This window comes from Homo sapiens, chromosome 18 (assembly GCF_000001405.40).
Source record: "Homo sapiens chromosome 18, GRCh38.p14 Primary Assembly".
In the NCBI taxonomy this organism is placed as follows: Eukaryota; Metazoa; Chordata; class Mammalia; order Primates; family Hominidae; genus Homo; species Homo sapiens.
In genome coordinates this window covers 35,240,659-35,267,267 of record NC_000018.10, presented here as the reverse complement: position 1 = coordinate 35,267,267, position 26,609 = coordinate 35,240,659, and the positions used below count along the sequence as shown (strand labels likewise).

At 41.9% G+C, this 26,609-nt stretch overlaps 2 protein-coding genes across 18 annotated transcripts in view, besides 4 other annotated features; one reads left to right on the top strand and one right to left on the bottom strand.

Moving 5' to 3' along the window:
• Nucleotides 1-16,206, top strand: part of ZSCAN30 (zinc finger and SCAN domain containing 30) — a 39,168-nt gene extending 22,962 nt beyond the window's left edge. For 5 of the 8 annotated variants that reach the window (XM_005258183.5, XM_047437267.1, NM_001112734.4 and 2 more), the window contains 3 exons: nucleotides 2,813-3,323; nucleotides 3,611-3,755; nucleotides 12,887-16,206. In XM_005258183.5, the coding sequence (XP_005258240.1) occupies nucleotides 2,916-3,323; nucleotides 3,611-3,755; nucleotides 12,887-13,818 (1,485 nt within the window). In that variant the 5' untranslated portion in view covers nucleotides 2,813-2,915 and the 3' untranslated portion in view covers nucleotides 13,819-16,206. Of the gene's footprint in view, nucleotides 1-2,812; nucleotides 3,324-3,610; nucleotides 3,756-4,027; nucleotides 8,241-12,886 lie in introns of those variants that run through there. The other 3 variants (XM_047437268.1, XM_011525789.4, NM_001288711.2) reach the window with 3 other exon arrangements.
• On the bottom strand, nucleotides 8,041-26,234 carry ZNF397 (zinc finger protein 397). Of its 10 annotated transcripts, NM_032347.3 has the most exons (6): nucleotides 26,159-26,234; nucleotides 24,384-24,877; nucleotides 23,975-24,116; nucleotides 21,917-22,006; nucleotides 12,866-13,036; nucleotides 8,041-9,340 (listed from the first exon to the last, which is right to left on the bottom strand). In NM_032347.3, exons 2-6 carry the CDS (start codon nucleotides 24,795-24,797, stop codon nucleotides 9,330-9,332), a joined length of 828 nt encoding a protein of 275 aa, NP_115723.1. In that variant the 5' UTR covers nucleotides 24,798-24,877; nucleotides 26,159-26,234; the 3' UTR covers nucleotides 8,041-9,329. The 10 variants fall into 10 exon arrangements, with proteins under 10 accessions (NP_115723.1, XP_011524531.1, XP_047293844.1 ...); XM_011526229.3 differs by lacking the exons at nucleotides 8,041-9,340; nucleotides 12,866-13,036 and adding an exon at nucleotides 25,578-25,666 and having other exon boundaries at nucleotides 17,460-22,006; nucleotides 24,327-24,877; XM_047437888.1 differs by lacking the exons at nucleotides 8,041-9,340; nucleotides 12,866-13,036 and adding an exon at nucleotides 25,578-25,666 and having other exon boundaries at nucleotides 17,460-22,006.
• Nucleotides 25,972-26,497: an enhancer, noted in NCBI's record as "NANOG-H3K27ac-H3K4me1 hESC enhancer chr18:32820735-32821260 (GRCh37/hg19 assembly coordinates)". NCBI's record gives its function as "activates a minimal SCP1, AML or CMV promoter by ChIP-STARR-seq in naive H9 embryonic stem cells {active_cell/tissue: H9 hESC(naive)}" and the evidence as "EXISTENCE:reporter gene assay evidence [ECO:0000049][PMID:30033119]".
• Nucleotides 25,972-26,552: a biological region, named in NCBI's record as "NANOG-H3K27ac-H3K4me1 hESC enhancer GRCh37_chr18:32820735-32821260".
• Nucleotides 26,053-26,182: a silencer, noted in NCBI's record as "silent region_9395". NCBI's record gives its function as "represses an Ori minimal core promoter by ATAC-STARR-seq in GM12878 lymphoblastoid cells {active_cell/tissue: GM12878}" and the evidence as "EXISTENCE:reporter gene assay evidence [ECO:0000049][PMID:35858748]".
• Nucleotides 26,443-26,552: an enhancer, noted in NCBI's record as "active region_13221". NCBI's record gives its function as "activates an Ori minimal core promoter by ATAC-STARR-seq in GM12878 lymphoblastoid cells {active_cell/tissue: GM12878}" and the evidence as "EXISTENCE:reporter gene assay evidence [ECO:0000049][PMID:35858748]".

Sequence of the window (26,609 nt, the reverse complement as noted above, 5' to 3'; positions counted from 1 at the left end):
CCTCAGGCGCTTACCCAGCGTGTCTTGTGTCGGGCTGCAGGCTCAGGAGTCTGACACTCGCCAATGGGCTCCTTCCTGCCACTTCTCACGTGGCCAAAGCTCGGTTTTGAGACGGGTCTCAGCCTTCCTCTTGGCTCCCCGAGGAAGCCAAGAGGGGACAGGATCTCACTGTGTTGCCCAGGCTGGTCTCAAACTCCTGGACTCAAGTGATCCTCCTGCCTTTGGCCTCCCAAAATGCTGGGATTACAGGCATGAGCCACTGTGCTTGGTCTCTAGTATTTTACACTAAAAAATTAAGAGAAGGCCCTGCACGGTGGCTCATGCCTGTAATCCCAGCACTTTGGGAGGCCGAGGCGGGAGGATCACGAGGTCAGGAGATCGAGACCATCCTGGCTAACACAGTGAAACCCTGTCTGTACTAAAAATACAAAAAATTAGCCAGGCGCAGTGGCGGGCGCCTGTAGTCCCAGCTACTCGGGAGGCTGAGGCAGGAGAATGGCGTGAACCCGGGAGGCGGAGCTTTCAGTGAGCCGAGATAGCGCCACTGCAGTCTGGCCTGGGCGAAAGAGTGGACTCTGTCTCAAAAAAAAAAAAAAAAAAAAAAAAAAAATTAGGAGAAATATCCCCAGGGTTCTTGTGTTTAGATATGTATGAAAAATCTATTAATACCTGGCAAAGCACGGTTTAGGAGACGCTGCTTCGTAGGCATCTCAGACCTAACTTTCTTAATGAATAGCTCAGCAAATAGCACCATCATCCTCTAGTCACAAGGGCCAACCACAAACTTGAGTCCTTGACCCCTCTCTCTTCCAAGCCCTTATACGGTGTGTCAAGTCCTGTCAAATCTCCCGTCTTTTTGTCTTTTGCCTCCCATAGCTCAGTCTCTCACAGTCTCTCTTCTGAATGGTTGCAACAAACCCCTTCCCATGTCTTCTCCACGCCACTCTCTGGGTGGGCACACAGACCTTCCAGCCATCACTGTGGCCATGGGGATCAATGCAAACTCTGTAGTTCAACCTCTCAGACCTCCTCTCTCACCATTCATTAACTGTGCCCCAGGGTCTGGCACCGGGTTCTTAACCTGGCTGCTCATCAGAAGCTCTTGTGGCACTTACTAAAGCCCTGTCCCATGGAGATTCTGACTCAGGAAGTCTGCCTTGCGGTTCATGTTTCATGGCTGATTTTGAGCCGTAGTCAGAAGTGACAGCCATTAATCTGGTCTCCCCAAACTACCTTCAGTTTCCTCAGTGGGCCACATTCTCTCATACCCATTTTCACTTTGCCTGGGTGACCTTCCTCTCCATCTCACTCAGCTCACTCATATCAGACTCTGCTGAGATGTCTCCTCCAGGCAGCTCTTTCTGGCTCTTCCCATCCCTTTCTCCTTGGTCTTGGTCAGTCATCTTTCCCTTGTGCTACCTTGTCTACTTCGCTCCGTCCTTGGATTTATCACTGTGTTTACGTGTTGCTTTCCCATAATAAACTAAGAGTCCTTTGGTACACATCTTTTAATTCTGAGACTGCTCTTTGGTACGCTATCTAGCACAGAGTAAATGCTGAAGTATTTGTTGAAAGAATCCATTTTTCTTTGTGCTGTTTCAGAACCTTGCGACTTAAAAGTCAAGAATAATTTTTCCTTGTTTCTACATTCACCTTGCCCATTCTCCATGATCCCTTCCTAACATTTTCACCATCATTTCTGATTTAGTATCAGCCAAGATTGTCCTGGGCATCAACCCATTCTGTAATAAAAAGAAATAAAAAGAGCAAGTACTGTAGAGTTGCAGCCTGGGTTCATGTCTCGACTTTGCTATTTACCAGTTTGTAGCCTTGGACAAATTACTTGGCTTTTAAGAACCTTAGTTTCCTCATTTGTAAAATTGAGATGATAATACCTGATGGTGTTATTGTCAAGCTCCAGTAAAATAGTATTTGTAAAGTGCTTGGCCCATAGTAGGTGTTTATTAAGTGTGAGTTCCCTTCTTTTGGGATGCCCCATAGCATAATAGAAAGAGCTAAAGACTTTGGTTGCAGAGCCCAGTTCTGCTGCTCCCTGGCTGTCTTTGGTCAACTTATGACTTAGTAGCCTCGTTAGGAAAATGGGCGTAATTTTTTTTTTTTTTTCTGAGGCGGAGTCTCTGTTGCCCAGGCTGGAGTGCAGTGGCGCCATCTTGGCTCACTGCAAGCTCCCCCTCCCGGGTTCATGCCATTCTCCTGCCTCAGCCTCCCAAGTAGCTGGGACTATAGGCGCCCGCCACCACGCCCGGCTAATTTTTTGTATTTTTAGTAGAGATGGGGTTTCACCATGTTAGCCAGGATGGTCTCGATCTTCTGACCTCGTGATCCTCCCGCCTCGGCCTCCCAAAGTGCTAGGATTACAGGCGTGAGCCACCGTGCCTGGCAAAAATGGGCATAATTTTGATTGTCCTTATAGAGTTGTTAGGAAAAGCATATAAAATTTATGTTAAGTATCAAGCTAGTGATCAATAAAATGGTGGTTATTTCTGAGATGTAATCATATACTATAGTGCTTTTCTTGCTCTCTATAATCTACAAGCACTATTTTATTATCCCTAATGTTGTTCCTAACAGTATTACTAAAGGCCAAATTGATTTCAGCCATACTAACATTTTTCTTTCACATCCTAAAAAAATCCTGAGTCATCTATAAATGTATCATTTATGTGGAAGTGCCCTGTTAGTCAGTTTTCTTTACAATGCTATGCTCCCTGGCAACTGGGCTTCAAAAACCTGTATTTATATTCCAAGTACATTATTTTCCCTGTGTAACATGAGCATTGTCCACCCTCAGGAGCGTCCTGGGGAGTTGGAATTCAGAAGGAATCTCTCAGACGCAAATCTCCATCTCCTCCCTGCCTCACCTGGGCAGCCTTTTCAGACTGTCTCTGCCCAGAATGTCAGGAGAGGCCACAGTCTTGGCCTACCATGCTCCAGAAGAACAGGAAGGACTTCTAGTTGTCAAGGTTGAAGAAGAAAATTATGTTTTGGACCAGGACTTTGGCCTTCAGGAAAACCCCTGGAGCCAAGAGGTATTCCGGCAGAAGTTCAGGCAGTTTAGTTACTCTGACTCCACTGGCCCTCGGGAGGCTCTGAGCCGGCTGCGAGAGCTTTGCTGTCAGTGGTTGAGGCCGGAGGTGCACTCCAAGGAGCAGATCCTGGAGCTGCTGATGTTGGAGCAGTTCCTGGCCATCCTTCCTGAGGAGCTGCAAGCTTGGCTGCGAGAGCATCGGCCAGAGAATGGAGAGGAAGCTGTGACTATGCTGGAGGAGCTGGAAAAAGAACTGGAGGAGCCAAGGCAACAGGTAAGAAGTAAACATTTTTGTTTGTTTGATCTATTGTAAGTTAATGGGGAAGCCATAATTATGACTGGGGCATTGACTCAGCTCTCAGAGAATTATACAGTTTCTTTCTTTTGGGTTATTAATTATTCACTCATTGGGTTCAAGTCACTAGGGCTCTTAAGGTCCTGTTTTTTTTCTCTCTAATCATTTGAATGAGTTTTTGATTCTTCTGTTCCTGCCCTGTTGCTCTAGGAGTTTTCTGCTTGTGTATCCTCAGAATGATAGTGCTGGTACTTGATTACTCCTAGGACACAACTCATGGCCAAGAAATGTTCTGGCAGGAAATGACATCCACAGGAGCACTGAAGTCTCTGTCTCTGAATAGCCCGGTGCAGCCCTTAGAGAACCAGTGCAAGACTGAGACTCAGGAGTCCCAGGCTTTCCAGGAGAGAGGTGAGAAGCCCCAGTCCATGTGGGGTTGAGGATGGAGGTGAGAGCTATCAACTGTGGCACGGTTCATTTTCTTAACGACAGCCACTTGTGGCTATCACTAAGTATTGTGGAAAGGCTTCTTTGCCTAGAAATATTCTTCCTTAGGCTCTGCCTAGAATCTGAAATTCCAGTATCATTTGTAACTTTGGGTTAAGAATTAAAGTCTTTAGTAAAATTCTCTAATACCCATAATTATTTTTTTTCTTTTTCTTTTTTCTTTTTTTTTTTTTTAGATGGGGTCTCACTCTATCACCCAGGTTGGAGTGCAGTGGTGCAACCACAGCTCACTGCAGCAGCCTTGAACCCCTGGGTTAAAGTGATCCTCCTGCCTCAGCCTCCAGAGTAGCTAGGACTACAGTTGTACACCACCATGCCTGGCTAAATATCCATAATATTCAAAGCTCAGTATTCTGTTATTTAATTTTGGCTTCATTGGCAAGACAGTCCCTAAGATGGAGATGAATACATTTTCAGTAATAGAAACCACATAATCATTTGAACAGGGAAAGTTTAATGTTAAGAATTATTAACTACTAAGTGTTATAACAAAAAGTGAAACTCAAAAGAATACAGCAATAACAGATATAGAGTGTCTCTAGGGCTGAGGCAGAACATCAAAGGTAAGAACAAATTTGCAGGAGGGTGCCACAACTTCCCCTTTCCTGCCAGGTCTTAGATCCAGGCCTTGTTGGAGAGGGCACAGCCACAGCCCACTGGATGGAGATGCCACTGCAGTGCTGAGCTGGCAGAACTCACTGAGGAGCCACACTCTGGGGTGCTAGAAGCTCCCCATGGGGAGCTGACCTGGTACAGAACTTGCTGGGAAGCTACCCATAGGGATGGGGCCTTTGGAACTCATTGGGATGTGCACTGCTGGGTGTCCCATGTGCTACAGAAACAAACACAAAGAACATGCCAGAACCAGGAAGAAAAGCCCTTTCTTCCAGTTCCTCTGCAACCCCCTCTATTGATAAAGCTCACAGCATGCCAGCTGGCAAATAGTCCAGTATCACAGACAGGGCAATGAAGCGTAGATTTGAAACTGAGGCAATAAATTGATAGCTGTCACAGATGCCAGGGATTAGAACTGAAAGGACTTTGATTATGTTATTGGCAAAATCATCCTTATGGGCAGCAGATATATCAGGTATACCAGCTTGTTCTCATTAATCTTTTGTTAAATCTGACTACCCTTCTGATTTTGTCTTCACCAAGCAATCTTATTAACTTCCTATGAAGCTTAGCTGTAATAAGAAAATTGCATTTGTTCAGTCTGGTCCATGTGATGGTTACATTACTCATTAATTCTCATTCTGTTTTTATTACTGAGTTTCACGGGCTTAGTTATTAAGAGTCTACCCCAAGAGATAAATCTATTTTTTGTATGATGATAAAATTAGGTATATGAGGACCTAAGCCCAAAGGCCAGACCCTGGACCTCGGCAGTTCACCAAAGGAATCCATACCATCCATCCACTGAATTCTTCTGGGAAACTGCTTCCCAACCTTCCCCAGGCATCATACCCTGATACTACCATTAGCCAAGCAGGCCCTCTTAAGTATCTTCTGCACCAAGCAGGTGCTACATTAAAACGGGTTTTGAAAATTCATCTCAAGGAAATCAAGCTGTCTCTATTTGCAGATAATATGATCCCATGTCTAGAAAACCCTATCGTCTCAGCCCCAAAGCTTCTTAAGCCAAGAAGCAACTACAGCAAAGTCTCAGGATACAAAATTAATGTGCAAAAATCATAAGCATTCCTATATACAGAGATTCCTATATCTCTGTGTCTGTACTGCACACCTGAACAACAATAAGACAACCAGAGAGCCAAACATGATTAACTCCCATTCACAATTGCTACAAAGAGAATAAAATACCTAGGAATACAGCTAACAAGGGAGGTGAAGGGCCTCTTCAAGGAGAACTACAAACCACTGCTCAAGGAAATCAGAGAGGACACAAACAAATGGAGAAACATTCCATGCTTATGGATAGGAAGAATTAATATCATGAAAATGGCCATACTGCCCAAAGTAATTTATAGATTCAGTGTTATTCCCATTAAACTACCATTGACATTCTTCACAGAATTAGAAAAAAATACTTTAAAATTCATATGGTACAAAAAAAAGAGCCCTTATAGCCAAGACAATCCTAAGCAAAAAGAACAAAGCTGGAGGCATCATGCCACCTGCCTTCAATCTGTACTACAAGGCTACTATAACCCAAACAGCATGGTACTGGTACAAAAACAGACACATAGACCAATGGAACAGAATAGAGATCTGAGAAATAAGACTGCACATCTACAACCACTTGATATTTGACAAACCTGACACAAACAAGCAATGGGGAAAGGATTACCTATTTGATAAATGGTGCTGGGAAAACTGGCTAGCCATATGCAGAAAACTGAAACTGGATCCCTCCTTTACACCTTGTACAAAAATAAACTCAACATGGACTAAAGACTTAAATGTAAAACCCAAAACTATAAAATCCCTAGTAAAAAAATCTAGGTAATACCATTCAGGACATAGGCATGGGCAAAGATTTCATGATGAAAATGTCAAAAGCAATTGCAATAGAAGCAAAAATTGACAAATGGGACGTAATTAAAGAGCTTTTGCACAGCAAAAGAACCTATTATAAGAGTGAACAGACAATGTACAGAATGGGAGAAAATTTTTGCAATCTATCCATCTGACAAAGGTCTAATATCCAGGATCTACAAGAAACTTAAACAAATTTACAAGAAAAAAACAACCCCATTAAAAAGTGGGCAAAGGACATGAACAGAGACCTCAAAAGAAGACATTTATGCACCAAAAAATATATAAAAAATAGCTCAACATCACTGATCATTAGAGAAATGCAAATCAAGACCACAATGAGAAACAATCTCATGGCAGTCAGAATGGCGATTATTAAAAAGTCGAGAAACAACAGATGCTGGCAATGCTGTGGAGGAGTAGGAACACTTTTACAGTGTTGGTGGGAATGTAAATTAGTTCAACCATTGTGGAAGACAGTGTGGTGATTCCTCAAAGACCTAGAACCAGAAATACCACTTGACCCAGCAATCCCATTACTGGGTATATACTGAAAGGAATATAAATTATCCTATTATAAAGATATATGCATGCATATGTTCATTGCAGTACTACTCACAATAGCAAAGACATGGATTCAACTCAAATGCCTACCAGTGATAGAGTGGATAAAGAAAATGTGGTATGTATACACCATCGAATACTATACAGCCATAAGCAGGAATGAGTTCATGTCCTTTGCAGGGACATAGATGGAGCCTGAAGCCATTATCCTCAGCAAACTAACACAGGAACAGAAAACCAAACACCACGTGTTCTCACTTATAAGTGGGAGCTGAACAATGAGAACACATAGAAACAGAGAGAGGAACAACACACACTGGGGCCTGTGGGGGTGGGAGAGAAAGCATCAGGATAAATAGCTAATGCATGTGGGGCTTAATACCTAGGTGATGGGTTGATAGGTGCAGCAAACCACCATGGCACACATTTACCTACGTAACAAACCTGCATGTCCTGCACATGCATCCTGGAACTTAAATTAAACTTTTAAAAAAGAAAATTCATCTCATCAGGTCCCCTGCCTTAAATCAGGTAAATGACGAAATCATTTAGGTAGACTATTTTTACTTTCTTTTTTTAAAATCTTAAGGAACAGAGACTGTGGTAAGTGTTTCTTGGGCTTTTCATATTGTTATTTGTTATGGGATGAGTTGTGTCCCTTCAAAATTCATATGTTGAAGCTGTAACCCCCAGCCAGAACCTTAGAGTATGACTGCATTTTTTTAGAGATAGGGCCTTTATAAAGGTTAAAATGGGGTCATTAGGGTTGGCCTTAATCCAAAATAATTGATGTCCTTAAAAGAAGAGGAGATTAGGACACAACACAGACCAAGGGATGATCTTGTGAGGACCTAGCAAGAAAGTGGCCATCTGTGGCCGGGTGCAGTGGCTTATGCCTGTAATGCCAGCGCTTTAAGAGGTTGAGGCAGGCAGATTACTTGAGGTCAGGAGTTCAAGACCACTGTGAAACCCTGTCTTTACTAAAAATACAAAAATTAGCCAGGGATGGTGGTGCATGCCTATAGCCCCAGCTACTTGGGAGGCTGAGACAGGAGGGTCACCTGAGCCCAGAAGGTGGAGGTTGCAGTGAGCTAAGATTGCGCCACTGCACTCCAGCCTGGATGACAGAGTGAGACTATCTCAACAACAACAAGAAAAGAAGGTGGCCATCATCTGCAAGCCAAGGAGAGAGAAGAAACCAAACCTGCTGACACATTGATCTTGGACTTCTAGTCTCTAGAATTGTGAGAAAAGAGATTTCTGTTGTTTACCACCCATTCTGTGGTATTTTGTTGTGGAAACCCTAGTAAACATACTATATTAAAATTCTTCCTTATGTCCATATGAAATACTCCCAACTTTAATTTATTCATAATCCACTTTCTTTAGTTTACAGAGTCCTCATAAAACACAATCTATACTTGAATGCAGTGAGTACACTGCACTTTGACCTTTTTTTTTTTTTTTTTTTTTTTTTTTTTTTTGAGATGGAGTCTGGCTCTGTCGCCCAAGCTAGAGTGCAGTGGTGTGATCTTGGCTCACTACAACCTCCAACTCCTGGGTTCAAGTGATTCTCCTGCCTCAGCCTCCCGAGTAGCTGGGACTACAGGCACCCGCCACCACGCCTGGCTAATTTTTGTATTTTTAGTAGAGATGGGGTTTCACCATATTGGCCAGGCTGTTCTCAAACTCCTGACCTTGTTATCCACCCGCCTCGGCCTCCCAAAGTGCTGGAATTACAGGCATGAGCCACCGTGCCCAGCCTCCTGACCTTGTTTTAACTAAGCCTCTCACTCCCTCTGATCCCATCTGTGTTCTGTCTGTTTGGATATCTTGCCACTTTTCTCTGGACATGCTTCAGTTTCTCCACATTCATCTGAAGTTTGGGGATCAAGACAAAATAAAATACTCTAATGAGAATCTGATTGATTTAAAATATATTCACCCTCCAACTGTTATCTGTTACATTTTTTAACTTTTTATTTTCTTATTACTTCATAGTGGCAGTATGTTGTTGACTCAGTCACCATATCAGTAATAGTGACTCTATCTCTCCAATGTCCTTGGACTTAGCAAAATTTACTCGTTCTCCATTTATGCGTGGTCCCATGGCCATGAATGGCCTTGACTGGGTTCCTGTTAAGTCTCCTTATGCTAGTCTCTTTTCAGTCTTGAAAGTCTTAGCCCTGCCTCTGAAGAATTAATGTGGATCCTTTCACAGCTTTCACCTAGGTCATGAGGTTTAAATTGTTGGAGAGGCCCACTGTGATATGATTGTAAGAGTCACCATGCCATTTTTACAACCTTGAGTTATAAGTTTCTTGTAGGTGCTTCACTAGCCTCATGATATGCCTTGCCAGAAGTAGCGCCTGAGATGGAGATTTGGGTGCAGGTGATTTATTGACGATGTGTTCTTCAGGAAAAATCTGTAATGGAGAGAGAGAAGCAGGATTAGGAAGGGAAAAGAGCAAGCAATGATGTGGTCTCAGTTACAGTCTAGGCTTGGTCTAATCCTTGGAGCATTTCATGGGCCGCTGAAGCATAATTGCACTGCAGAGTTGTCTCTTCTTGACGCAGAGATGGGGCAATGAAGGTGGAAGTTACTTCCTGGGCCAAGTGGCTCTCATCAGCCTGGGTAATTCTCCACAGAAGGAGGCATCTCTGTATAGTTAGGAGCTGTCTTAATCGGTTAGGACTGCTATAACAAAATACCATCAACTGAGTGGCTTGTAAACAACACGGATTTACTTCTCACAGTTCTGGAGGCTGAGAAGTTCAAGGTGCTAGCAGATTTTGTATTTGGTAAGGTCCCACTTTCTCATGGATGGCACCTTTTCACTGTGTCCTCACGTGGTGGAAGGGGCAAATGAGCACCATAGGGCCTATTTTATAAGATCACTAAGCCCTCATGACCTAGTCACCTTCCAAAGGTCCGCACTTCCTAATACCATCACCTTGGGGGTTAGGACTTCAACATATGAATTTTGGGGAGACACAGACATTCACATCATTGGAGGAGCCAACATTCACAGTGGCTGAGGGAAGGAGGCATCATATTGGTAAAGGGGAACTGGGTGGGCAGTGGAGCATCACTGACATAGCATTAAGGCTAAAAGCATACTCGTCAATATGCAATTGAAGGCCACATCCCTAGTTAAAAGGATTTTAAACTAAACAGGATGGAATTGCTCACTGAACTGCTGAGCTGGCAGAACTCACTGAGGAGCCACCCCAGAGAACAAGTAAGAAAAGCAGGAGGTGTGTTAAAGAGAAAAGCTAGCTGGGTGTGGTGGCTCGTGCCTGTAGTTCCATCACTTTGGGAGGCTGAGGCAGGAGGATTGCTTGAGACCAGGAGTTCAAGACCAGTCTGGGCAACATGGCAAGACCCCGTGTCTACAAAAAAAATTTTTTAATTAACTGGATGCAATGATGCGCACCTGTACTCTTAGTTACTGGGGAGACTGAGGTGGGAGGATCCCTTGAGTCCAGGATTTCAAGGCTGCAGTGGCTGATAATTGTACCACTGAACTCCAGCCTGAGTGACAGAGCAAGACTCTGTTTCAAAAACAAACAAACAACAACAACAACAACAAAAACAGAAGAGCTCTTCTAACAGAGATACCTGTGCCTTATTTCTCCTCCAAAGAGCCTCTTATAAATCTGTACCCCACCCTCCAGCCTCCAGACTTGAGCCTGATTACAAATTAGTTTTCATTCTTGGGAGATAGTAATTGGGTTCTCTCTATGCAAGTATTTCTGAATAATCAAGTGACCATTTCTTATTGTAATCTTTTTTTTTTTCTTTTTGAGACAGTCTTGTTCTGTCATGCAGTGGTGTGATCTTGGTTCACTGCAACCTCCACGTCCCTGGTTCAAGTGATTCTCGTGCCTCATCCTCCCGAGTAGCTGGTATTACAGGCGTGCACCACCATGCCTGGCTAATTTTTTATACTTTTAGTAGAGATGGGGTTTTGCCATGTTGGCCAAGTTGGTTTTGAACTCCCCTGGCCTCAAGCGATCTGCCTGCCTCAGCCTCCAAAAGTGCTGGGATTACAGGTGTGAGCCACCGTGCCCAGTCTCTACTTGTAATCTCTATTTGTCTTTTCTAAGAATTACTCTAGTTAGCTATTTATTCCAACTTTTTAAATATAATAATAAATGTATAGTTGAACAAATAAAAATCTTGATGTCTTCCTGATGTATACATCTGAGGACAAAATTTTTCTCTAGTCTCATAATTTGACTTCATATAGTTACAGAATTTGAAGACGTATTTAAATCCCATAAGTTACATTGCTTTTCTAATTTTCATTGCCCTTAATTTTGTCCCTACACAATTATATTGCCACTTTATACCCTATAATTGATGCTCTTAATAATTTGACCTATTTATTACTTTCAGAAAATTTCTCATTAGGTTGTTGGGTCTCTGACTTTAACCTATTTGGTACTTTTAATTTTTATGCCTCTATTGTATGCAAGTATATTTTTCATAAATGTTTTCTTTTTGAATGAAACAATGAATAATTTAAATTTCTATCTAAAATCCAAGGACAATATGAATTTTAGAGGTGATGTCATCTGTGTTTAATTTCTGGTAAGGAATGGGGAAAACGGGAAGCCAGACAACCCTCTGCTTTGATCAGGTATCAATTGTGGTGCTTTATTGTTGTGTTTGAAGTGTTGTGAACTTAATATCAGAAATAGGTATTCATTTTTATATAAAAGCATAATGCTTTTCCAAAGCCAAATTTAAATGATTTTTAAGTTATATTTTGTTTCAGTGCAACTACAGCCCTGCATCCTTCCAATATGGAAGGCAGATAGCATAAAGATTACAAGTTTTGATGTTAAGAATGTTTATTTGAATCCTAACTCTTAGCAATTATTACTTCTATGGCCAGACTTAGCTTCTCTGAGCCTCAGTTTCCTGATATGTAAAATGCATATACATTTAGAGGGCTTTTGGGAAGATGTATTTTTCAGAATAAAATAATTCAAGTTATATCAGCCATTTCTAGTTACTAGAAATCTCTAGATATAACTAGTAGATGGCTGACATAATATGCCCCATCTCTAGTAGCCTTCTGTTATGAGTTACTGTAGTTATCTAGAGAGATTTCCAGTAACTCATAACAGGAGACTACTAGAGATGGGGCATGTTTTGTGAGAGCCAGAAGGTCTGGCTCTGGGCAGTCATGTTTTTAGGTATAAATGCTCAAAGAAGGAGTTGTCTCCATCCCCTTCTTTGATACTTATACATTTTAAAAAGTAAAACTATAAGATTCTTTTGTATTCCATGGATGATTTAAGTGCAAAATTTTTTTTAAAGTTAAAAAAAATTCCCACCTGACCTGAGAATGAGTCAGGAACCTGTATTTCTTTTCTCTGGGTCTGTGTCTTATTCTATTTGCTTATAATTATTTAATTCATTTGGAACCTATCAGAATCTGAAATTGCCTTAATGCTTTCTAGTTGCTGCCCAGCTACCTCTGTTCAGTGCTAACTCCCAAAGCATTTCCTAATCATATCTTCTGCTCTCCTATATTGATAGAAGACCACAGATTTAAGACTCTTAGATATCTTTCTTTATCCTGATCATTCCTTTTAACTTTTTTTTCCTGATTATCTCATTACCTAAAAACGTATCTTCTCTAACCCAAGATTGTCTCCTAGCTTCCTGGTTTATCGCCAATATTCCTGTTTGTCACCATTCCCTCTAACTAATGTCTTTCCTTGTTCACCATCCCTCTTCTCCAATACTAATTCATTTCTTTGTCTACCTTACTCTCCAAGGGGGCCATATTTGGCTACCCCAGGCCACTTCTCTGAATTCTAGATTGGGAATCTAGTTTTGAGAACTGTCCTCCTAATAAATAAATACCTATTTCATTGAGTTTGTGTTCCTGCTACAACAGTTTCTTCTGTCATGGGAAGTAAATGATACTTACACTTTCTATTCACATTTTTAGATGGCAGGATGGTGGCTGGCAAAGTGTTGATGGCAAAGCAAGAAATTGTTGAATGTGTAGCCTCAGCAGCTATGATATCGCCGGGAAAACTTCCTGGAGAAACACATTCCCAACGGATAGCTGAAGAAGCTTTGGGAGGTCTGGACAACTCTAAGAAGCAAAAGGGAAATGCTGCAGGGAACAAAATCAGTCAGCTTCCTTCCCAGGACAGACATTTCAGTCTGGCAACCTTCAACAGAAGAATCCCCACAGAACACAGTGTCCTTGAATCTCATGAGAGTGAAGGAAGTTTCAGTATGAATTCAAATGATATTACACAACAGAGCGTTGACACTAGGGAAAAGCTCTATGAGTGCTTTGACTGTGGGAAGGCCTTTTGCCAGAGCTCAAAGCTGATTAGACATCAGAGAATTCATACTGGAGAGAGACCTTATGCATGTAAAGAATGTGGCAAAGCCTTCAGTTTGAGCTCAGACCTTGTTAGACATCAGAGAATTCATAGTGGTGAAAAACCCTATGAATGTTGTGAATGTGGAAAAGCCTTCAGGGGCAGTTCAGAGCTCATCAGGCATCGGAGAATCCACACTGGAGAGAAGCCTTATGAATGTGGAGAATGTGGGAAGGCCTTCAGCCGGAGCTCAGCCCTTATTCAGCATAAGAAAATTCACACTGGAGATAAAAGCTATGAATGTATTGCATGTGGTAAGGCTTTTGGTAGGAGTTCTATCCTTATTGAACATCAAAGAATTCACACTGGAGAGAAACCTTATGAATGTAATGAATGTGGAAAATCCTTCAATCAGAGCTCAGCCCTCACCCAGCACCAGAGAATTCACACTGGAGAGAAGCCTTATGAATGTAGTGAATGTAGAAAAACATTTAGGCATAGGTCAGGCCTTATGCAGCATCAGAGAACACACACCAGAGTTTAACTCTGTGGGTAAGAGTTGTACAATTGTGAAATGCAAGGAGTTCACTGTAGGGGTGAGACTCCACAGAAAAGAAAAGTTTCCTGAGAGCAGAACTTCTGTCCTTCCCTCCCAGTTCGGTACTATAAGAAGACATGCACACAAAGATGTTTGTTATGATTATTGAAGTGTTAAATGGAAGAAAAATGTTACCCAAGTCTTCTCCAAAAAGAATGGTAGATATTTCCTTGAAATGCCTAACCCATTTCTGGATGAGACTCATCAATATCCCCTTCACTCCACTCTCTGCCAACTCAGATATAATTTCCATTGGGCACCTTCACAGTAATGCCAGGATTGGGGCAGAGATCCTGAAAGAGCTTCTTATAAGATGGCAAATGTGCCTGGCAAGAGCATTTGTATTTTGTCAGGTGGAGGCATGTGCTGAGAGTTATTCAACTATCTGAAATGTTGAATTTGGAGGTTGTGAAAATATTGAATTATGCTATTAGTTTAATAATATCTGAGGCAGTAAAATAGTACCTGAGGAATGGTGCCTCATTCTGCCCCCTTGCCAGTTGTCTCCTCAATCCTGAGCTTCCTGCTGAGGTTAATTCAAGTCTACTAGTTTATTGAGCACCTGCTATGTGCTAGGCATTGAGGTAGACCTGGTCATTGCCCTCCCAGAGTTAAGGGCTAATAGGATATGCATATATACTAAACAGTAATTACAGTAAAGTGTGGTAAGTGCTTTGGTAGGAAAAATGCGGGTTTCCATCAAAGTACATGGCAGGGATACCTAAATCTGGTCTATGAGTCACTAAAGACTTCCTGGATATGATGGTATCTCAGACATAAAGGTGGGTAGAAGGTAGCAAGGGCAGGGGAGAAGAGAACAGGATCTGGAGACACTCCATGAAGACTCTTCTCTACTGCAGAAATTGTCATAGACCTAATTTTTAAAAAAATGAATCTGAAGGAGTAATTCAACAAATATTTATTGCCCTCAAGTATAATAGCTCAGGGCCTGCAAGCCTGGTAAGGAGGGGTGTGGGCAGGGAATGGGGAATAGCAGAGCCTGGGAAGGCAGATCACCGTGTTCCTTTATACTTCCCACTGCCTGAGTCCCAGAGTCATGGGACACAAACACTCCAGTCCCCACTGTCTCTCTAGCCTCTGATATGCATTCTTTCCCTGTGTATATACATGCCTTTTCCCATAAAATGCACCAGTCTCTCACCACACTAATTCTGAGTACTTCAGAGTCTCACAGGTCATTCTGGGTCTAGAATAGGCTCCCCAACTCAGTGATTATAAGTAGGAAGAGGAAAAGCAACACATGGGGATTCTGAGCCAGGCTTTATGACAACTAATTCCTGCTGGAGAGAAGAGTCCTGATGATGGGCTGTCTCCAGATCCTATCTTATCTTCATGCCATTGTATGGGCTATAACCTCTGCCTGTAACTCTCTCTGCTAATTTTTATTTTGGCAGTTTTAATTAACCCACAATTGCTGAGGGCAATTAATACCTAAAAGAAAGTTTGATTCCTCTTCTAAGATATCCTAGGTAGTGTCATTTCTAAAGAAGACTTGGTGATCACTGCTTGTATTAGTCCATTTTCACAGTGCTATGAAGATACTACCTGATACTGGGTAATTTATTAAAAAAAAAAAAGAGGTTTAATTGACTGACAGTTCTGCAGGGCTGGGGAGGCCTCAGGAAACTTAAATCATGGTGGAAGGCGAAGGGGAAGCAAGCACCTTCTTCACAAGGTGGCAAGAGAGAGTGCAGGGGAAATGCTAGGCACTTATCAATCAGCCAAATCTCATGAGAATTCACTATCATGAGAACAAGGGGGAAATCTGCTCCCATGATCTAATCACCTCCCACCACGACCCTCCCTCAACACCTGGGGATTACTATTGGAGATTTGGGTGGGGACACAAGAGCCAAACCATATCACTGCTGTTGTGGGTAATAGGGGAGGTGAAATTGGGGGGACAATTCGGCCTCTTTGTGTCCAGAGGTTGTGCAGTTATCGAGTGAGGTCGATCAGAAGTCTAAAGGGATCTTTCAAATGGATAGTGAGTTGCCTTTTCCTATAGGTGACAATCAGAGATTTAATGTTTTAAGTATCATATAATAGGTTTTTCTCCTGATTGTGAATTGTAAGTGTTGGTAATACAGAAAATGAGAAAGTATAAACCACCCCCAATCCCAATGCCCATAGAAACGTTGTTAACATTTTGGAGTACTTTCTATTAGTGTTTATTTTTCCCAATCCTAGTATTTTTAGTAAAACTACTGTTTAGTAAATGATTTTTGGTAACTAATTTCAAAATTTATACTTCAACCGTTTATTATTAGAATGTAATGCAAGATGTATTGCAATAAAACTTGAGTTTTAAAAGTTTGCTTTGAAATTATTCATTCAGGAATACGGAACACAATAACATGAACAGAGATAATGCTAGGACGATGGGGAAGAGGTTGTGGGAAGAAGATAGGGAACTGGTGTTCTCAGTTTCTATTTTCTGAGCCAAAAAGTGTCGGGAAACTAAAAGAGACAGTCTCTGGGGCTGCAGTTAACCAAAGTGAGGGGGCATCTGAGATTTAGTTGTTGTTGGAAGACAATGGGAATGAGAGCAAGAAGGAGCCTCTTAAACACAAACACGTCCTGTGTTCACCAGAATTAGGACTCTCTCTTCCCTTTAGTGGAGGTGGCTGTATGCACCAGACTGGAATCTTCAACACTAATTGCTGAGAAGGACCAAGCTTAGACCTGTGGACCTGCCATGACCACCTCCTCCCTCAGCAGGTCTTCAATGAGCTTGGAGAGATGAGGGTCAGATTTGCTTTAAATTTCCAATCCTTTCAGCTGGATGTATTAGTTGCAGGCTATGGAAATGAGGGAAGGGGAAAGGCAGGAAATCAAAGTTAAGTACACTAAATTGCACATTATCTTTTAAAATCTGTTTAAGACTCATTTAAGGTAGACATTATTATTCCCTGGACTGCTTCTATACCAAGAGAAACAGGACAGCCCTGAGCAGAAGGGAAAGGCATGAATTACTTTTCTTCCAAGCAAGAGTGGTGAAGACGAAAAAATTTCCTTTGACATCCACCCTATATTGGTGCCCCTTCCATTTCATAAAAAGTGGAATGTTGAAGTTTTGACCATAAGAGATCATCTACATCAGCTCCTTTAAGTGAGGGTCTAGAGTTGGAAGATGACTTGCTTATGGCTATGGAATACATGGAAAAACTCTAATAATCAAAGATCTCCACTTCAAAGCTATTGCTTTTCTCAACTGTAAATCTTTCAGGCAAGAATTCCTTTTGCACCCAGATTTATACTTTGTAGACTTTTTAATATACTAGGTGTGAGATGGTTATGTTTACCATTGTCATTTTACCAGTGATGAAGGGATCAGAGTTAACAAGTTAGCTAATTTCCTGAAACTTGGAAGAGACAAGAGATGCTATGAAAAGCAAGTGCTTTTAAAATATTTTCTCAAGCATCCTGGGATTCCATTCACTCTTGCCCCCTAATTTTAAGAGTATTAGAGGTTTACTATAGAAAAATTTGGAAAACACAAAAAAGCACAAGAAAAAAATTACATCACCTACAACCTCAGCACCCACACATAACCAGTATAGCACTTTATGTTTTCAGTATTTTTAATACATAAATATATATTTTACATAGGATCATACTGTACATATTGTTTTGTAATATTTTTACTTAACAATATATCATGAATACTTCATTTAATATTAATTGACATCAGTGTTTTTTTTTTTTTTTTTTTTTTTTTTGAGACACAGTCTCACTCTGTCACCCAGGCTGGAATACAGTGGTACAATCTCGGCTCACTGCAACCTCCACCTCCCGGGTTCATGCAATTCTCCTGTCTCAGCCTCCCAAGTAGCTGGGACTACAGGCACATGCCACCACACCAGCTAATTGTTTTGTATTTTTAGTAGAGACGGGGTTTCACCATATTGGTCAGGCTGGTCTCGAACTCCTGATCTCAGGTGATCCACCCGCCTCAGCCTCCCAAAGTGCTGGGATTACAGGCATGAGCCACTGTGCCTGGCCTGTGACATCAGTTTTAAGAGTTTCAGGATTTTGTGTACATTCATGATGGTTACTGAAACATACATTTCCAGGTACAATTTCAAAGTCAAAAGGCAATGCTTAAAGCTTCTGGTATTGATTGCCAGAGATGGTATGTATTTATTCATGTCTTACCAGCAGCATTAGAGTCCCAATGTCCCTGAATCCCTGTCTGTTTTATAAGGAAAAGTGTCATCTCAACTCTTGCTTTAATATACATTTTAACTGTAGTGAGGTTGAACATTTATTGTTCATTGGCACTTATTTTGTGATTTCCCTACTTAAGTAGCATTTTTTTTCTATTGGAACTTTCTTATGGGGAGAGAGTATACTGAAGTGGCTCCACAGTCAGGTTGTGGGTTCAAAGTCTGACCTCCCCACTTTGTAGATATATGACCTTTAGCCTTCATTTCCTCATCTGCTACATACGTGCTGAGAAATAACAATAATAAGTATATACAAAGCCCTTAGCAAGTATCTATTACATTTACTTTTTTCCTTTTTTTTTGGTTTGGAGACAGGGTCTTGCTCTCCCAGGCTGGAGTGCAGTGGTGTGATCTTGCCTCACTGAAGCCTCGACTTCCAGGGCTCAAGCGAACCTCTCACCTCAGCCTCCCAAATACTTGGGTCTACAGGCATGCACTACCACGTCTGGCAAATTCTGTTTATTTTTTGTAGAGATGGGGTCTCACTATGCTGCCCAGGCTCGGCTTGAACTCCTAGACTCAAGCAATCCTCCAGCCTTGGCCTCCCAAAGTGCTGGCATTATAGGTGTGAGCCACTGTGCTTGGTCTATCTATTACATTGCTTTCTGACATACAGTAGAGCTTTCTTATATAAAGAGTATTTCCGTTTTACAATTCCTACTTTACGTCCTACCTTTTCAGTTTGTTCAGGTCTTTATCTATGGAAAAGGAGAAAAACAAGAGTTGAGTAGCTCTTACCACGTATTTTAATCTCTTACATCTTTTCCAAATAATCCCATCCATTTTTTCCATATTCTCTCCCTAAACATGGGCATTTAGGCCTCCTGCTGTTCTTACTGGTTAGCACATGTCCACTGATGCACGCCCCAATAAGAGCATTACTTCTCTTTGCTTCTTTTTATCCTCATGAAAATTCTTTTTCTATGCACATGATTCTAGATTTCCATACAGATTTGTTTTTGGTGTGGTATGTTATTCTTCTGACCTATTAGGTCTTTTGAATATGTCTTTGTGTTGCTGGTTAACCTGTACAACATTCCTTCTTACACTAAGCATCAGTCTAAATATTCTCTTCCTGCTAGGCCCCTCAGAAAAGGGAAGTCTTGACTGACTGTGACCATTAGTTTCAGTTGTCACTTCCTTTTAGCATTGTCTTTAATAAAATTTGCAAAAGATGGTTGGGCGCCATGGCTCACGCCTGTAATCCCAGCACTTTGGGGGGCCGAGGCGGGCGGATCACCTGAGATCGAGAATTCGAGACCAGCCTGACCAACATGGAGAAACCCTGTCTTTCCTAAAAATACAAAATTAGCCAGCTGTGGTGGTGCATGCCTGTAATCCCAGCTACTCAGAAGGCTGAGGCAGGAGAATCGCTTGAACCCAGGAGGCAGAGTTTGCGGTGAGCCAAGATCGTGCCATTGCACTCCAGCCTGGACAAGAGCGAACTCCATCTCAAAAAAAAAAAAAAAAAAAAAAAAATTGCAAAAGATATTGTGAAATACTGGTGACATAAGACAAAACTGAACATGTGCGAGGTGCCCAAAGAATGTCACAGACCCAGCAACTGACAAATATTTTTTGAGCACCAAAGCCCAAGGGAATGTACTAGGAATTGTGGGCGTATAGCCCCAGAAACAAATGATATGGCAGCTTCTGATCCAGAGCGTTGGGAATTTTAAGAAACCTGACAGCAGCTCTGATATTGTCTTTAGAATCAAAGGAGAATAGAGTCTTAACACTCTAGCAGACTCTTGAGGTATAGGCTGGGCTCTTTCTCACCCTCATTCCCACCACCACCCTCATGGAAGTTCTAGGATAGCCTACAGGTTGGGCAAGGAAACCACATATTTGCCCTTTCCCTGGGGTCACATAAACCAAGACAAAGCTCTTGACTACCCTGTGGCCCAAGGGCTCCAGGTTTTGTCTATTAACAGGAACTTCTCCATTGGCACTGCTTAAGAGTCTGGCCAGACCCAGACTTCTCTGACAGACAAGACCTCACTACAACAGGAACTCAAGGAATGCTCCACACTTTGTTTCTGGCCTTTGGCTACTGTTCTTTACTGGGGTACCACTTCCCTAGAGTACCACCTTGGCTAACTCCTCCTCATCCTTCAGGCCATTTCCCCCATTTCCTTATCCAAGGCTGAGTCAGGTGCTCCTTAAGGTCACATAGGAGCATTCCACTTTCACTGCCTGTCTGGCTGCCTTGCCCATTAGACTGTAGAGACTACAGTCTTGTTTTCCACTGTATTCCTAGTTCCTGGGACAAAGTAGGTACTCAAAAAATAACCTTTGGGTAAATTATATTCTTTCTTCTCATGCCTATCTAATTCCTGGCCTGCCCTGGGCTCAACAAATCATTGATGAAGCCATTTCCCCACCTTTCCTGCTGCTCTGTCACTGTTCTTTATTGGGTCAGTTTTTTTTTTTTTTTTAGTTCCTGAGACGAAGTGCCTCACACAGTCCACACCAGCCCCATAACCTGGCACACTAACAATCAGATGCAGTGACAGAGCCTGGGTTGCTATATTCATGACACTTTCATACAAAATGAGGTTTCAATGTTACATTCCCACTTTTCGTATTTCCTGAGTATTCCTAATAAGAGAAGAGCTGGAAGTAATGATTCTTCTGTATTCTGTTCTGATTAGTCACAGGAAAAGCTTTCAAGGGACACTTTACATTAGCACTGGGAAATGCTGCACAAAGCAAGCTAGACTCAAGACCTAGTATTTTATAACCTTTATGGAGTTTTGCTCCAAAGTAAACTCTTTTGACTAACAAACTTAAAAATCTGACTGAAGTATTTACACTATTCACAGTATTCACAAATTACTTTATAGTGTGGACTCTTTGATGGCGCATAAGGACCGATCTGTGCCTGAAAGCCTTCCCACATTCATTACATATATAAGCTTCATCCCCAGAATGAATTCTCTGATGCTGAACAAGGGCTGAGCTCCTTTTGAAAGTTTTGCCACATTCATTACACTGATAAGGTTCCTCCCCACTATGAATTCTCTGATGTCTGATAAGGTTTGAGCTCAAACTGAAAGCTTTTCCACATTCACTACATTCATAGGGTTTCTCTCCACTATGTATTCTCTGATGAGTAATCAGCTCTGAGCTCTGCCTGAAAGCTTTTCCACATTCATTACATTCATAGGGTCTCTCTCCTGTGTGAATTCGCTGATGTCTAATGAGTTTTGAGCTCTGGCTAAAGGTTTTCCCACATTCATTACACTCATAAGGTTTCTCACCAGTGTGAATTCTTTGATGTATAATGAGATATGAACTTTGACTGAATGCTTTGCCACACTCATTACATTTACAAGCTTTCTCACCAGTATGGATTTTCCGATGTCTAATGAGGGCTGAGCTCTGATTGAAAGCTTTCCCACATTCACTACATTCATATGCTTTCTCACCACTATGAATTCTCTGATGAATAATAAGATAGGACCTCAAACTAAAGGCCTTCCCACACTGGTTACATTTATAGGGCTTTTCTCCAGTATGGATTCTCTGATGTTGTGTTAGAGAGGAATGCTGCTTGAAGCTGTGCCCACATACATCACATCTATAAGGTCTCTCTTCTGGAGGAACTTTCTGACACATTATAGAGTCTGTAGTTAGAATCAAGCATCTTTCAGCCTCATCATAAAGGTCTCTCTTTCCTAGAGATTTGTTTGTGAAGATCACTTGACTAAAACTGCCCCCTTGGGAAGGAGATCTTAGTTTCTCCCCTGTAGCACTTCCTTGCTTCCACACTAAATTGCTTTCATGCTCACTAATTCCTCGAAATGAAGGTTCCTGAGGGAGTCCCTGTGATTTTTCTTCTGAGATGCCCTCTTTTGTTGCTGTTTCACTGTTCTCACAATCTGAAACAATAAGTAGCAAAAAAACAGATATTACATTTCTCTTGTCACCGTCAAAACTTTCTACATGAGAGAAAACAGAAGCTTCTACCTACAAAGATGTCACTGTCCTCCAGTATCTTTTTTTTCAACTGGCCAAAAGAGGGTCTCTCTTATCTAATAATAAAGTCTACATCTACACTTCGAATTCCATCCTTTCCTGCCTCTTTTGAGACATCAACTGATAAATTACCTACAATTTTTTTCTACTATTTACAATCTCTTTCTCAACTGATTCCTGTTCATCAGCTTTTAAATAAGCTTAAGTGTCTCTCACCTTTTAAAATCAACCTTCTTGCCTACATATCTCCCTCAAGCAACCTCACTCTCTCTCAAGTGGTTTCGCAACCTCACTCTCTCATAGTGATTTCTTGAAAGAGTTGTCTGCAGCCTTTCAAGTGAAAGTATCCTCATTCCACAATCTGGTTTCTGCCTTACTGTCCTCCCCCGCCCCCCACCGCCCCGTCCCCTACTTCCACTGATACTACTCTCATCAAGATCACTTCATAGCTCTTTAATCCACTAAGTACTTTCTAGATTATTACTTAGCCTCTCTGTAGCATTGACACTGAGGATCACACCTTCCTTCTAGAGACATTCTCTTCCAGTGATATTAGCCTGATTTCTGTGGCTGTTCCTTCTTAGATTCTAGGGTAAATCACTCAAACACGAGCGTTCCTCCAGATTCTGTTTTGGGCTCTCATGTATCCTTACTCTACAAACTCTCTACCCTTGGCTTCCATTACATCTTACATTGTAAGCTATTGTCTGACTAATGTCTGCCCAGATCCCCAATTATATCCATATTTTATTAAGCTCTAGAGTCTTATGCTAATTGGGCATTTTACTTTTGAATATTTCACAAGCACCAAATGTACCAACCTAAACACATCATCAGATGTATCTGTTTTTCCTTATGTTTTCTCATTCACATGAACAGTACTACCATTAACCAGACTGTTGAAGACTGAAACCTCAGTATCATCCTCAACTCCTCTCCCTCACACTCTAGTTTTAATAATTACCAGATGTTGCAAAACAACTTAAATGCTGTTGAACAGGAGTCAGCTTTTATGTTCTCCACCGCTTACCATAACACATATTGATTGAATACACTGTGGCCACTTGGATTACAGCAGTCTTTAATAGGACTATACTCTTGCCTTCCTTACATGATTCTCCATTTGCAGCTAACTTCTAAACTGCAAATCAAACTATGTCACTCCTTGTCCAAAATCCTTCAACTGCATCCCACTGCACTTAAGAAACTATACAAACAAATTAACATGACATACAGGTCTTCATGACTTGGATCCTATTTTCCTCTCTGGTTCTTCTCTTACCACCTGTCAATTCTCCATTCAAGTCAAATTAAACTACCTGCAATTTTCAGAATGGGTTATATTCTCACACCTTCGGGATGGTATGGCCTTTACTTGGGCTACTCCTCCTCCCACCTATTTACCTGGCTTTCTCTTACTCATAGTTCAAGTCTTAGCTTAGATTTTCTTCCTTCAGGAAGTGTTCCTTGATCCTCTAAGATTGGGTTAGGTGCCTTTAGATGTGCTCCAACAGTACCCACTGCCTACTTATATTCTATAATTTACTACATTGCAACTGCCTTTTTATTTGTCCATCACCCACCTAGACCTGAAACCTCTCCTGGGGCCTACCACAGTACCAGACATGTATTGACGCTTTATAAAGTTACAACATAATGAAATGAATGAATGAATAACAGGGAAACTCACACAGGAGGGCTGACAGCAATTCATGAGGGGTGAATACAAAGCCGCTAAAGCGAGCACCTCTGGTTTAGAATAATAAAGGTGATGCTCACATGTGGCAAGTTTGTCAAGTGCAATTAATTCTGCATTCTCAAAAACAGAGGCCTAAGTGTCAAGAGTTTCCAGATGATTTCCCATTCCTCACCACTTTTAGGGGAAAGGCATGGTTTCCAGGATTTCAGCTGTGTCTTTAAGGGCTGGAGGTGGATGTCTGTTGACTCTTGGGATGCTCTGAGACATGTTAAATCCTTCCATGGCACTGCTGGTCCCTGTGGACTAGCTGGGACCTGAAATCAGTAAAATATGGTTAGCTTTGTGAGAAAATCCCTAAGAAAACTTGCTTAGTAAAAATCTCAAAGAGGTCAATGATGACATCTCCAGGGATGAAGGACAGGGGAAAAAGACCATTCAAGGGTATAGACAAGTATGGCTCTATTAGTCACTTCAGGTTAGGGTTCAGTAGAGACATAAAAATTTTTATCCTACTGTTATGATACCATTACATGCTCCAGGCTGTAAATTCCTTTTCCCACATCACTTTTCTCCGTTCCCACCTGCTGCCCTGGGTCATCAAACTCCCTCTCTAAATCCTCCAACAGGGTCACAGCTTCCTCGCCGCTTTCTGGATTATGTTGCTGAACCCAGATCTGCAGCTCCTCAGGCAGAATGCTCAGGAACTGCTCCAGTACCAGCAGTTCTAAGATCTGCTCCTTTGTGTGCAACTCTGGCATTAGCCACTGATAGCAAAGTTCCTGGAGTCGGCTCAGAGCCTCCCGGGGCCCAGGTGTCTCCTGGTAGCAAAATTTTCTGAATTGCTGACGAAACAATTCTTGGCAGGATTGAGTACTCCCATTCTGCTTAAATTTCTCATCCCAGGAAAAGTTATCTTCTACTTTCACTAGTATTAGTTCTTGTTCCGGAGGATCCTGAGGTATCAGGGTTGAAATCACTCCAGATTCCACAGCCATTCTTGGCTGAAACAGCTTAGCAAAAAGCTCAGTACAACTGGTTCTGTGCTTGCGAAGGAGTGTGAGTAATCTCTTCTTTCCTGAAGGATATAAAAGCAGTTAACTTACAGCAATCAATAAAATCTCTAAGTACTTGTAATAAGAAAGATGAGTAACTTTAGTAATATATTGAAAGGGAGTAGATTTGGGGCTATCACTAAATAAAACAATAATGTGATGATAAACTAAAAATCATTAACCTCAATTAGTGTCTCCCATTATGAAGAATTCCTACCACTAATGTTAGAAAAAACTATTTTAGAAGCCTAAGAATGTGAATGCAACATTAACATCAATCACATAGTGAGAAAATTTCCTTTCCAATTCTTTCAATTCTGATTGTATCAAGGAGAAAAGTCTATCTTTAACATGTATGTATTAATAAAACTTGTAGAACTCTCTTTTAAATAAAATACAGGCTTCAGAATCAGACTTCCAAGAGTAAAAATATTTAGGCAGAATTTAGTAATACTGATTTTAAACATTTATTTTTACTTACTTTCTATCTAAAGCAAGTAATGTTGATTTTCATTTAAGGCAGTAATAACGTTTTTTTAAAAGTTCACATTAAACATGAGTTGATGTAAATATTGGATATTTGTCATTTGATCGCATTTGGTGTTTACCGAATTACTTCAACAAACACTGAGGCACTTACTGAGCATTAAGATTTTTGCTTATGAATAAACGAGTCTACAGAGGAATTGACCAAGAACCAAGACGTATCTGTAAAATGCTTACCATGTGTTCAAAAACATGATAGGTATCACATACACAAAAGCAGCAAAGAGATCCGTATCAGTTCTGAAAAAGCTTAGAATATCCCAAGACTAAAAATGTTCAAAAGCAAAATATGGTAACAAATAGGTATTAAATGTTGTGACACAGACCAAACTTGACCTGCTTTTAGGATGGCGAGATATCGATAGGAATGTATGCCCTTAGTTTGTCAGGACAGATGAGTAAAATTCATTCCTCACACTACGGTTAACGTTAAGAGATGAATTAAAATATTTAGCCTACAAATTTAAGGTTTAACCAGTCCGGCCGCACTAACTAACTAACTAACTAGCCCTTCTATTTTTATATCCTTGGTTAAACCGCAGCATTTACGAAGTCACGGGGTCAGCGGAACTGCGTTTTCCTTTGGAAAGCAGGAGTTTGAGTGCTGGCCTCCTCTGAGTTCCCCAGTCGCTTGGAGACGCCGCGCGGGCCAAAGGGCCGCGACCTGGGGATGGGCAGGCCGAGGAGCGGAGCTCCTCCACTGTCCGGCGCGCGCTCCCAACCCCACCTCCCTCTTCCTAGGGGCCCACGTCCCTCACCGCGAAGCCCAGGAGCGGCCAGGAAATGAGCCACCCACCCCGAGCTGCAAGCCACAAAGACCGGAAGTGCGCGTACGCAGTGTTCCGCTCTCGCGCCCTTCGGGTCCTCCGCCGCCCCGCCCCTTGCTCTGAGGTAGCCAATCAGAGCCGCGGGCTCTACAGTTTCCACCGCCTTCTCCCGGTAGCCGCTAGCCCGGCGGAATCTCCAAGGCCAGGGGAGGGTGCGCTAGGAGTCAGGGGTCCTTGTGAGCGGCGGCACCTGGAGGGTCCCGCATCTCGCCTGGGCCGTTCCCACCCTGGCTTTCTCCTGGCACCACCCATCATTGTTGGTCTCAAGTAATTCCCGAATCTCACTCCCAGTTTTCCATTAAAATATTCAGATTTTCGGCCGGGCGCGGTGGCCGAGGCGGGCGGATCACGAGGTCAGGAGATAGAGACCATCCTGGCTAAC